Source organism: Homo sapiens, chromosome 11 (genome assembly GCF_000001405.40).
Source record: "Homo sapiens chromosome 11, GRCh38.p14 Primary Assembly".
NCBI lineage: Eukaryota > Metazoa > Chordata > Mammalia > Primates > Hominidae > Homo > Homo sapiens.
In genome coordinates, this window is record NC_000011.10 from 58,528,471 (window position 1) to 58,542,354 (window position 13,884).

The window sequence follows — 13,884 nt, forward strand, 5'->3', positions numbered from 1 at the left end:
CAGAGCCTGATATAGTTGTCCTCTTCATGTGATGCAAGAATCACTCAAATATCATCTTATCAGAGAGGCATCTCTTCAGTCCCTCCTTGTCACATCATCTTCTTTCACCGTCTTTATGGCATTTACCTTTATTTAAAATCATCTTTGTGGGCTGTCTCCCCTTACAGGAACATTAGCTCTGAGAGAAACTAGATATTGTTGATCTTGTCACCATTATATCTCTAATATCTAAAACAGCATCTGGGAAGAAAAAAAGCATCTGATATTTTAAAATAAAATACTACTAAATAATAATTTCCAGATGGATGCAAGATCTAAACACAATGACTCATACCATATATTTGAATTAAAAATAGATGTATTCCTCCTTTTTTTATTTTTTGTGTGGGTATATTATTTTTATTGTTTACCAGCAGTGTATGAAAATCCCAATTATTCCTCAGTCTTTACATCACTTGATATATCCATATATTTCCTTTTTAATCAATCAAATGGATGTTATCTATCTATACAATGTTATCTCATGGTAGTTTTGATTTGTATTTCCCGAAAGGCTAATGATACTTAGGGTTTTTTTAATGTGTGCATTTGCATTTCATATCTTGTCATTAATGATGTATTCCTCTTTAATCTGGAAACAGAAAAACTGTCATAAATAAAGCCCAAATTCCAAAAGCAAGTTAAATATTAATAAATTTAGCTACATAAAAATATATCTGAATGACTTACACATGTCAAAAAATCACCATAAACAAAGACAAATAACAATCTGAAGAAAATATTTGCTAATTATATTCCACTCCTGAGTATATGTATGGTTTCAACTATTGTTGTACATAATTAAAAAGTGAAAAAATTGGCCGGGCACGGTGGCTTGCACCTGTAATCCCAGCACTTTGGGAGGCCGAGGCGGGTGGATCACGAGGTCAGGAGATCGAGACCATCCTGGCTAACACGGTGAAACCCCGTCTCTACTAAAAATACAAAAAATTAGCCAGGTGTGGTGGCGAGCGCCTGTAGTCCCAGCTACTTGGGAGGCTGAGGCAGGAGAATGGCGTAAACCCGGGAGGCAGAGCTTGCAGTGAGCCGAGATCGCACCACTGCACTCCAGCCTGGGAGATAGTGAGACTCTGTCTCAAAAAAAAAAAAAAAAAGTAAAAAAATTAAAATGGAAAAACATGAATCCCTAAAAAATTGAATCAAATTGAAGAAAATTAACTGTATATCAAACTGATGACATGAGCAATAAAATAAATAATTTGGAGATTGCTGGCAGGATGACCGAATAGGAACAGCTCAGGTCTGCAGCTTCCAGTGAGATCGATGCAGAAGGCAGGTGATTTCTGCATTTCCAACTGAGGTAACCGGTTCATCTCATTGAGACTGATCGGACAGTGGGTGCAGCCCATTGAGGGCAAGCCGAAAAAGGGTGGGGTGTTGCCTCACCCAGAAAGCACAAGGGGTCAGGGAACTCCCTCTCCTAACAAAGAGAAGCCATTAGAAACTGTGCCGTGAGGAACAGTGCACTCCGGCCCAGATACTGTGCTTTTCCCATAGTCTTCACAAACCGCAGACCTGGAGATTCCCTCTTGTGCCTACGCCACCAGGGCCCTGGGTTTCAAGCACAAAACTGGGCGGCTGTATGGGCAAACACTGAGCTAGCTTTAGAAGTTTTTTTGTTTTTTGTTTTTCATAACCTAGATGCACCTGGAATGCCAGCGAGACAGAACTGTTCACTCCCCTGGAAAGGGGGCTTAAGCCAGGGAGCCAAGTGGCCTGGCTCGGTAGGTCCCACCCCCATGGAGCCCAGCAAGCTAAGATCCACTGGCTTGAAATTCTTACTGCCAGCACAGCAGTCTGAGCTCGACCTGGGATACTAGAATTTGGTGGAGGGAGAAGCATCCACCATTGCTGAGGCTTGAGCAGGTGGTTTTACCTTCACAGTGTAAACAAAGCCACTCAGAAGATCAAACTGGGTGGAGCCAACCGCAGCTCAGCAAGGCTGCTGTGGCTAGACTGCCTCTCTAGATTCCTCTTTTCTGGGCAGGCCATCTCTGAAAAGAAAAAGGCAGCAGCTCCAGTCAGGGGCTTATAGATAAAACCCCCATCTCCCTGGGACAGAGCACCCAGGGGAAGGGGTGGCTGTGGGCACAGCTTCAGTAGACTTAAACATCCCTGCCTGACAGCTCTGAAGAGAGCAGTGGATCTCCCAGCACAGGGTTCGAGCTCTGCTAAGGGTCAGACTGCCTCCTTGAGTGGGTCTGTGGCCCCCGTGTCTCCTGATTGGGAGACACCTCCCAATAGGGGCTAACTGACACCTCATACAGGAGAGCTCTGGCTGGCATCTGGTGGGTGCCCTGCTGGGATGAAGCTTCCAAAGGAAGGAACAGGCAGCAATCTTTGCTGTTCTGCAGCCTCTGCTGCTAATACCCAGGCAAACAGGGTCTGGAGTCGACCTCCAGCAAACTCCCGTGGACTTGTAGCAGAGGAGCCTGACTGTTAGAAGGAAAACTAACAAACAGAAAGGAATAGCATCAACATCAACAGAAAGGACATCCACTCAGACACTCCATCTGAAGGTCACCAACTTCAAAGACCAAACGTAGAAACACTCAAGAAGATGGGGAGAAACCAATGCAAAAAGGGTGAAAATCCCAAAAACCAGAATGCCTCTTCTCCAAAGGATCACAACTCCTCAACACCAAGGGAACAAAACTGGATGAAGAATGAGTCTGACGAACTGATAGAAGTAGGCTTCAGAAGGTGGGTAATAACAAACTCCTCCGAGCTTTATAAAGGAGCATGTTCTAACCCAATGCAAGGAAGCTAAGAACCTTGAAAACAGGTTAGACAAATTGCTAACTAGAATAACCAGTTTAGAGAAGAACATACATGACCTGATGGAGCTGAAAAATATAGCACAAGAACTTTGTGAAGCATACACAAGTATCAATAGCTGAATTGATCAAGCAGAAGAAAGGATATAAGAGATTGAAGGTCAACTTAATGAAATAAAGCAAGAGGACAAGATTAGAGAAAAAAGAATGAAAAGGAATGAATAAAGCCTCCAAGAAATATGGGACTATGTGAAAAAAACAAATCTACGTTTGACTGGTGTACCTGAAAGTTATGGGGAGAATGGAACCAAGCTGAAAAACACTCTTCAGGATATTATCCAGGAGAACTTCCTCAACCTAGCAAGACAGGCCAACATTCAAATTCAGGAAATACAGAGAACACCACAAAGATACTCCTCAAGAAGAGCAACCCCAAGACACATAATCATCAGATTCACCAAGGTTGAAATTGAGGTGACAATGTGCTTGCAACCCTTGCTCGCTCTTGGCACGTCCTTGGCCTCGGCATCCACTCTGGCCACGCTTGAGGAGCCCTTCAGCCTGCCGCTGCACTGTGGGAGCCCCACTCTGGGCTGGCTGAGGCTGGAGCCAGCTCCCTCTGCCTGCGGGGAGGTGTGGACGGAGAGGCACGGGCAGGAACTGGGGCTGCATGCGGTGCTCGTGGGCCAGCACGAGTTTCGGGTAGCACGGGATCAGCAGGCCCCGCACTCAGAGTGGCCGGCCAGCACCGCCAGCCCCAGGCAGTGAGAGGATTAGCAACTGAGACAGCAGCTGCGGAGGGTGCACTGGGTCCCCTAGCACTGCTGGCCCACCTGTGTCATGCTCGAATTCTTGCCAGGCCTCAGCTGCCTCCCTGTGGCGCAGGGCTTGGGATCTGCAGCCCGCCATGCCCGAGACCCCCACAGTGGGCTCCCATGCAGCCCAAGCCTCCCCGACAGGTGCTGCCCCCTGCTCCGAGGCGCCCAGTCCCATCGACCGCCCAAGGGCTGAGGAGTGTGGGCGCACGGCACGAGACTGGAGGGCAGCTCCGCCCGCAGCCCTGGCATGGGATCCACTAGGCGAAGCCAGCTGGGCTCCTGAGTCAGGTGGGGACTTGGATAACTTTTATGTCTAGCTAGAGGATTGTAAATGCACCAATCAGCACTCTGTGTCTGGCTCAGGGATTGTAAATGCACCCATCAGCACTCTGTGTCTAGCTAAAGGTTTGTAAATGCACCAATCAGTGCTCTGTGTCTAGCTAATCTAGTGGGGACTTGGAGAACTTTTGTGTCTAGCTAGAGGATTGTAAATGCACCAATCAGCACTCTGTGTCTAGCTCAGGGATTGTAAATGCACCAGTCAGCACCCTGTCAAGACAGACCAAACAGCTCTCTGTAAAATGGACCAATCAGCTCTCTGTAAAATGCACCAATTAGCAAGATGTGGGTGGGGCCAGATAAGGGAATAAAAGCAGGCTGCCCGAGCCAGCAGTGGCAACCCACTTGGGTCCCCTTCCACACTGTAGAAGTTTTGTTCTTTCACTCTTTGCAATAAATCTTGCTGCTGCTCACTCTTTGGGTCCGCACTGCCTTTATGAGCTGTAACACTCACCGCGAAGGTCTGCAGCTTCACTCCTGAGGCCAGCGAGACCACGAATCCACCAGGAGGAATGAACAACTCCAGATGGGAGGAATGAGCAACTCCAGACGCACCGCCTTAAGAGCTGTAACACTCACCGTGAAGGTCTGCAGCTTCACTCCTGAAGCCAGCGAAACCACAAACCCATCAGAAAGAAGAAACTCCGAACATGTCTGAACATCAGAAGGAACAAACTCCGGACACACCATCTTTAAGAACTGTAACACTCACCGCAAGGGTCCGCGGCTTCATTCTTGAAGTCAGTGAGACCAAGAACCCACCAATTTCGGACACAAAATGAAGGAAAAAATGTTAAGTGCAGCCAAAGAGAAAGGTTGGGTAACCCACAAAGGGAAGCCCATCAGACTAACAGCGGATCTCTTGGCAGAAACTGTACAAGCCAGAAGAGAGTGGGGGCCAATATTCAACATTCTTAAAAGCATTTTCAACCCAGAATTTCATATCCAGCCAAACTAAGCTTCGTAAACAAAAGAGAAATAAAATTATTTACAGACAAGCAAATGCTGAGAGACTTTACTACCACCAGGCCTGCCTTACAAGAGCTCCTGAAGGAAGCACTAAACACAGAAAGGAATAACTGGTACCAGTCACTGCAAAAACATACCAAATTGTAAAGACCATAGATGCTATGAAGAAACTGTTCATAACAGTTCTTCAAAATAACCAGCTAGCATCATAATTACCAGATCAAATTCACACATAACAAGATTAACCTTAAATGTAAATGGACTAAATGTCCCAATTAAGACACACAGACTGGCAAATTGGATAAAGAGGCAAGACTCATTGGTGTGCTGTATTCAGGAGACCCATCTCACATGCAAAGACACACATAGGCTCAAAATAAAGGGATGAAGGAATATTTACCAAGTAAACGGAAAGAAAAAAAAAAGCAGGGGTTGCAATTCTAGTCTCTGATAAAAAAGACTTTAAACCAACAAAGATCAAAAGAGACAAAGATGGGCATTACATAATGGTAAAGGGATTAATGCAACAGGAAGAACTAACTATCCTAATTATATATGCACCCAATACAGGAGCACCCAGATTCATAAAGCAAGTTCTTAGAGACCTACAAAGACTCTTAGACTTCCACACAATAATAGTGGGAGACTTTAACACCCCACTGTCAATATTAGACAGATCAATGAGACAGAAAATTAACAAGGATATTCAGGACTTGAACTCAGCTCTTGGCCAAGCAGACCTGATAGACATCTATACAACTCTCCACCCGAAATCAACAGAATATACATTCTTGTCAGCACCACATCATATTTATTCTAAAATCGACTATGTAATTGTAAGTAAAACACGCCTCAGCAAATGCAAAAGAACAGAAATCATAGCAAACAGTCTCTCAGACCACAGTGCAATCAAATTAGAACTCAGGAGTAAGAAACTCTCTCAAAACCGCACAACTACATGGAAACTGAAAACCTGCTCCTGAACGACTACTGGGTAAATAAAAAAATTAAGGCAGAAAGAAAGAAGTTATTTGAAGCCAATGAAAACAAAGACACAAAGTACCAGAATCTCTGGGACACATTTAAAGCAGTGTGTAGAGGGAAATTTATAGCACTAAATGCCCACAAGAGAAAGCAGGAAAGATCTAAAATCGACACCCTAAAATCACATTAAAAGAACTAGAGAAGCAAGAGCAAACAAATTAAAAAGCTATCAGGAGACAAGAAATAACTAAGATCAGAGCAGAACTGAAGGAGATAGAGAATGAAAAACCCTTCAAACAATCAATGAATCCCGGAGGTGGTTTTTTGAAATGATCAACAAAATAGATAGACTACTAGCCACACTAATAAAGAAAAAAAGAGAGAAGAATCAAATAGACACAAAAAAATGATAAAGGGGTTATCACTACTGATCCCACAGAAATACAAACTACAATCAGAGAATACTGTAAACACCTCTATACAAATAAACTAGAAAATCTAGAAGAAATGGATAAATTCCTGGACACTACACTCTCCCAAGTCTAGACCAGGAAGAAGTCAGATCCCTGGATAGACCAACAACAAGTTCTGAAATTGAGGCAGTAATTAATAGCCTACCGACCAAAAAAAAGTCCGGGACCAGGTGGATTCACAGCAGAATTCTACCAGAGGTACAAAAAGGAGCTGATACCATTGCCTCTGAAATTATTCCAAACAATAGAAAAAGGGGGAATCCTCCCTAACTCATTTTTATGAGGCCAGCATCATGCTAATACCAAAACACGGCAGAGACACAACAAAAAAAGAAAACTTCAGGCCAATATCCCTGATGAACATCAATGTGAAAATCCTCGATAAAATATTGGCAAACTGAATCCAGCAGCATATCAAAAAGCTTATCCGCCACGATCAAGTCAGCTTCATACCTGGGACGCAAGGCTGGTTCAACATACACAAATCAATAAACATAATCCATCTCATAAACAGAAACAATGACAAAAACCATGATTATCTCAATAGATACAGAAAAGGCCTTTGATAAAATTTAACACCCCTTCATGATAAAATCTCTTAATAAACTAGGTATTGATGGAATGTATCTCAAAATAATAAGAGCTATCTATGACAAACCCACAGCCAATATCATATTGAATGGGCAAAACCTGGAAGCATTCCCTTTGAAAACTGGCACAAGACAGGGATGCCGTCTCTCACCACTCATATTCAACATAGTGTTGGAAGTTCTCGCTAGGGCAATCAGGCAACAGAAAGAAATAAAGGGTACTCACATAGGAAAAGAGGAAGTCAAATTGTCTCTGTTTGCAGATGACATGATTGTATATTTAGAAAACCCCATCATCTCAACCCAAAATCTCCTAAAGCTGATAAGCAACTTCAGCAAAGTCTCAGGACACAAAATCAATGCGCAAAAATCACAAGCATTCCTATACGCCAATAATAGACAGCGAAATCATGAGTGAAACTCATTCACAATTGCTATACAGAATTAAATACCTTGGAATACAACTTACAAGGGATGTGAAGGACCTATTCAAGGAGAACTACAAACCACTGTTCAAGGAAATAAAACAGGACACAATCAAATGGAAAAATATTCCATGCTTCTGGATAGGAAGAACCAATATCGTGAAAATGGCCATACTGCCCAAAGTAATTTATGCATTCAATGCTATCCCCATCAAGCTACCATTGACTTTCTTCATAGAATTAGAAAAAACTACTTTAAATTTCATATGGAACCAAAATAGAGCCTGCATAGCCAAGACAATCCTAAGCAAAAAGAACAAAGCTGGAGGCATCATGCTACCTGACTTCAAACTATACTACAAGGCTACAGTAACAAAAACAGCATGGTACTGGTACCAAAACAGATATATAGATCAATGGACAGAACAAAGGCCTCAGAAATAACACCACACATCTACAACCATCTGATCTTTGACAAACTTGACAAAAACAAGCAACAGGGAAAGGATTCCCTATTTAATAAATGGTGTTGGGAAAACTGGCTAGCCATATGCAGAAAACTGAAACTGGACCCCTTCCTTACACCTTATACAAAAATTAACTCAACATGGATTAAAGATTTAAACGTAAGACCTAAAACCATAAAATTCCTAGAAGAAAACCTAGGCAATACCATTCAGGACACAGGCATAGACAAAGACTTCATGACTAAAACACCAAAAGCAATGGCTACAAAAGCCAAAATAGACAAATGGGATCTAATTAAATTAAAGAGCTTCTGCACAGCAAAATAAACTATCATCAGAGTGAACAGGCAATCTACAAAATTGGAGAAAATTTTTGCAATCTATCCATCTGACAAAGGGCTAATATCTAGAATCTACAAAGAACTTAAACAAATTTACAAGAAAAAAAAACAACCCCATCAAAAAGTGACTGAAGGATATGAACACACACTTCTCAAAAGAAGACATTTATGTAGCCAATAAACATATGAAAAAAAAAAGCTCATCATCACTGGTCATTAGAGAAATGCAAATCAAAACCATAATGAGATACCATCTCACGCCAGTTAGAAAGGCGATCATTAAAAAGTCAGGAAACAACAGATGCTGGAGAGGATATGGAGAAATAGGAATGCTTTTACACTGTTGGTGGGAGTGTAAATTAGTTCAACCATTGTGGAAGACTATGTGGTGATTCCTCAAGGATCTAGAACCAGGAATACCATTTGACTCAGCAATCCCATTACTGGGTATATACCCAAAGCATTATAAATCATTCTACCATAAAGACACATGCACACATATGCTTATTGCAGTACTATTCACAAAAGCAAAGACTTGGAACCAACCCAAATGCCCATCAATGATAGTCTGGATAAAGAAAATGTGGCACATATACACCATGGAATAAAATACAGCCATAAAAAAGAATGAGTTCATGTCCTTTGCAGGGACATGGATGAAGCTGGAAACCATCATTCTCAGCAAACTAACACAGGAACAGAAAACCAAACACCGCATGTTCTCACTCATAAGTGGGAGTTGAACAATGAGAACACATGGCCACAGGGAGGGGAACATCACACACTGGGGCCTGATGGAGGCAGGGGACTAGGGGAGGGATAGCATTAGGAGAAATACCTAATGTAGATGATGGGTTGATGGGTGCAGCAAACCACCATGGCACGTGTATACCTATGTAACAAACCTGCACATTCTGCACATGTACACCAGAACTTAAAGTATAATAATAATAAAAACGAAATAGTTCATTCAAGTAACTTTAAATGATAGTGTTCAGAGTGTACAGTCCTAATGATGCAATCTAAAGACAAAACAAGCTACAAAGAAATATTTTATTTTATTTTATTATTATTATACTTTAAGTTTTAGGGTACATGTGCACAATGTGCACGTTAGTTACATATGTATACATGTGCCATGCTGGTGTGCTGCACCCATTAACTCGTCATTTAGCATTAGGTATATCTCCTAAAGCTATCCCTCCCCCCTCCCCCCACCCCACAACAGTCCCCAGAGTGTGATGTTCCTCTTCCTGTGTCCATGTGTTCTCACTGTTCAATTCCCACCTATGAGTGAGAACATGTGGCGTTTGGTTTTTTGTCCTTGCGATAGTTTACTGAGAATGATGATTTCCAATTTCATCCATGTCCCTACAAAGGACATGAACTCATCATTTTTTATGGCTGCACAGTATTCCATGGTGTATATGTGCCACATTTTCTTAATCCAGTCTATCACTGATGGACATTTGGGTTGGTTCCAAGTCTTTGCTATTGTGAATAGTGCCGCCATAAACATACGTGTGCATGTGTCTTTATAGCAGCATGATTTATAGTCCTTTGGGTATATACCCAGTAATGGGGTGGCTGGGCCAAATGGTATTTCTAGTTCTAGATCCCTGAGGAATCGCCACACTGACTTCCACAATGGTTGAACTAGTTTACAGTCCCACCAACAGTGTAAAAGTGTTCCTATTTCTCCACATCCTCTCCAGCACCTGTTGTTTCCTGACTTTTTAATGATTGCCATTCTAACTGGTGTGAGATGGTATCTCATTGTGGTTTTGATTTGCATTTCTCTGATGGCCAGTGATGGTGAGCATTTTTTCATGTGTTTTTTGGCTGCATAAATGTCTTCTTTTGAGAAGTGTCTTAAACTGTTTTTATATATACTGGAAATTTGCTGTGAGTAGATTCTGATGCTCTTACCATATACACATGAAAAGGGTTACTGTGAGTGAGGACGGATATGTTAATTTGCCTAACTGTAATAAATATTTCACTGTGTATATCAAAATATCATGTTGTGTACCTTAAAATATACAATAAAATAATACAATATATATACACAATAAAAATAATTTGTTCATTTACAATATTTATATATTTTTTGAACTTATTACAGGTAGATTACATAATAAAGCAAATAATTATATTAATGCCTTTGGAAAGCAAGATTTCCAGCATTAAAAAAGACACAAATAATCAAACAAATCAAACAAAAAACTGTATCATTATACTATATCAGATATATTAGTATGAACTCATGACTTACTTTTCTTTAAAAAAAACAACAACAATGACAGATTCTATCAGGGCGCAGTGGCTCCTGCCTGTAATCCCAGAACTTTGAGAGGCTGAGGCGGGAGGACTGGTTGAAGCCTGGAGTTCGAGACAAGCCCTGGGCAATGTAGTGAGACCCACTCTCTACAAAAAATTTTAAAAAATTAGCCAGACCTGGTGGTACACATCTGTAGTGCCAGCTACTCAGAAGGCTGATGTGGGAGAATCGCTTGAGTCCAGGAGTTCAAGGCTGTAGCAAGCTATGATAGCACCTCTGAACTCTAGCCTGGGAGACAGCATGAGATCCTGTCTCTATAAAATTTAAAAACCTTAAAAAGTAGATCTGAAGCTCTGTCCACTGAAAAACCTAGAAGAAATGACATCCCAGAAATAATGAACACTGCTAATTTTTAAATATCCTCAATGAAGCAGTCTTTTTGGAGAAATGGATGATTCCAAGTATGTGGCAGAGTTGACAAGTTAGGCCTGATATATCTTGCTGTGCCAAGGAAATAGGAAGATTACTGGGATCATATCAGAAAGATACAGTAACCAAATTGAAGGGGCTACCTCTGACCTCAGATAAAAAAATTTGAGCATTAAAAAATACTAATTCAATAGATCAAATTATACCAAGTATATATAACTCCATGAGTTCATAATGATTTTTTAAAAATAAAAATTTATTAGTCTCCACTGGATATTGTTAATGAACCCATTCATTACCCTTATAATTAATTCATTACTCTTATTAATAGAAAGTGTCAAACACTTATCTCACCTTTCCTGTATGAGATATATTCCAAGATAACCCAATAACTGATGATAGAAAGTTTTTGTAGAACTCAGCTAATAAATATGGAAGGAATAATAGAAAACTCAGCATTTTACTACCTATTCCATTGGATTTAGGTAATTGTCATTAATGGGGAACTTTAAAATAGAGGGATCGGGATGACACTGCTTAAATTTAGTGGTCAATGTTAGTATCAATAAAAGTGGTCAACCAGTCATTATACACCTCTTGATGTGATTCAACAAGAAGTATACTGCACCCACCACCTGAAACCTATTCTTGTCATCCAGACCCCCGAAAACTGAACCTAAACCTAGTCATCTCTAGGTCTAAACTAATAGTTTAAGGAAAATATAGGAAATGGGGGCAGGAGTAAAGCAAAAAACAGTATCATGAGAAAGCAGCCAGTCAAATAAAGAATATGGGATATTTTATGGGATATAGGTTCTGGATTCATTAACAAATAAATAGTATAAAAAAGCAGCAAAGAGAGGACTAATAATAGAATTTTTTAAATTTGAGAGACAAAACAGCAAAATGCAATGCACTGACCTTGCTGAGATCCTGATTCAAGCAAACCAAGCCTGTGATATTTTCTTAGAAATCTGAATAGGAATTGTAAATGATAATAAGAAATTCTTAATTTGTTAAGCATAAAGGTAGTTTTTAAAAAGACCTTCTCAGCTAAAAGTGATGCATGCCGAAGTATTTAATGATGAGATTACATGACTTCTAAACTTGCTTCTTAATATTCCAGCAAGAAAAAATGTGGATGGATGGGTGAAGGTTAATAGAGGAATCCATTTGGCAAAACACTTATACTTACTGAAGCTAGGTAAGGAAGCACATTTATGTTTAGACTGTACTATAATAAAAACATTTAAAAAGCAATTTGTTGAGGTATAAGAACTTTCTCTTTAATACATGAAATTTTCACTGTTAAGACACATATTAGAAAATTCTTGGCTTGAGTCTTACTGATCCCATGTCCAGGTAATGGAGCTACACTGAGAATGAGAAACTCACGGTGATTGCTTTTTAAAACCTTTTAAAACAAGTGCACCTCACAAATCAATGAATAGCCGCAAAATAAATACTTTTCAACTATCTGATCTTTGACAAACCTGACAAAAACAAGCAATGGGGAAGGATTCCCCATTTAATAAATGGTGCTGGGAAAACTGGCTAGTCATATGTAAAAAGCTGAAACTGGATCCCTTCCTTACACCTTATACAAAAATTAATTCAAGATGGATTAAAGACTTACATGTTAGACCTAAAACCATAAAAACCCTAGAAGAAAACCTAGGCATTACCATTCAGGACACAGGCATGGGCAAGGACTTCATGTCTAAAACAAAAAAAGCAATGGCAACAAAAGCCAAAATAGACAAATGGGATCTAATTAAACTAAGGAGCTTCTGCACAGCAAAAGAAACTACCATCAGAGTGAACAGGCAACTTACAAAATGGGAGAAAATTTTCACAACCTACTCATGTGACAAAGGGCTAATATCCAGAATCTACAATGAACTCAAACAAATTTACAACAAAAAAACAAACAACCCCATCAAAAAGTGGGCAAAGGATATGAACAGACACTTCTCAAAAGAAGACATTTATGCAGGCAAAAGACACATGGAAAAATGCTCATCATCACTGGCCATCAGAGAAATGCAAATCAAAACCACAATGAGATACCATCTCACACCAGTTAGAATGGCAATCATTAAAAAGTCAGGAAACAACAGGTGCTGGAGAGGATGTGGAGAAATAGGAACACTTTTACACTGTTGGTGGGACTGTAAACTAGTTCAACCATTGTGGAAGTCAGTGTGGCGATTCCTCAGGGATCTAGAACTAGAAATACCATTTGACCCAGCCATCCCATTACTAGGTATATACCCAAAGGACTACAAATCATGCTGCTATAAAGACACATGCACACGTATGTTTATTCTGGCATTATTCACAATAGCAAAGACTTGGAACCAACCCAAATGTCCAACAATGATAGACTGGATTAAGAAAATGTGGCACAAATACACCATGAAATACTGTGCAGCCATAAAAAATGGTGAGTTCATGTCCTTTGTAGGGACATGGATGAAATTGGAAATCATCATTCTCAGTAAACTATCTCAAGGACAAAAAACCAAACACCGCATGTTCTCACTCATAGATGGGAATTGAACAATGAGAACACATGGACACAGGAAGGGGAACGTCACACTCTGAGGACTGTTGTGGGGTGGGGGGAGTGGGGAGGGATAGCATTAGGAGATATACCTAATGCTAAATGACGAGTTAATGGGTGCAGCACACCAGCATGGCACATGTATACATATGTAACTAACCTGCACATTGTGCACATGTACCCTAAAACTTAAAGTATAATAATAATAAAAATAGAAAAGAAAAAAAATAATAATATGTTGGACATTATAAGTCAGGAAACTCAAAAGAAAACAATGAAGTTGTAATTTTTGCTAATTAGTAGTTGAATTTCTAATTTTAGCTAAGTAGTAAAAACAGTGTTAAATAAATATACTCAATACTGGA

General features: G+C 40.3%; 1 protein-coding gene across 9 annotated transcripts in view; it reads right to left on the reverse strand.

Annotated features, from left to right (window-relative positions):
* The window catches only part of LPXN (leupaxin), a 52,021-nt gene that overhangs the window by 1,600 nt on the left and 36,537 nt on the right, over positions 1-13,884 (reverse strand). For 2 of the 9 annotated variants that reach the window (XM_017018579.3, XM_047427883.1), the window contains exon 8: positions 103-2,054. The exons of 5 other annotated variants lie outside the window; for them this stretch is intronic. In XM_017018579.3, the coding sequence (XP_016874068.1) occupies positions 1,960-2,054 (95 nt within the window). In that variant the 3' untranslated portion in view covers positions 103-1,959. Of the gene's footprint in view, positions 1-102; positions 2,055-10,321; positions 11,928-13,884 lie in introns of those variants that run through there. 2 more of the 9 variants (XM_011545393.4, XM_011545394.4) reach the window with 1 other exon arrangement.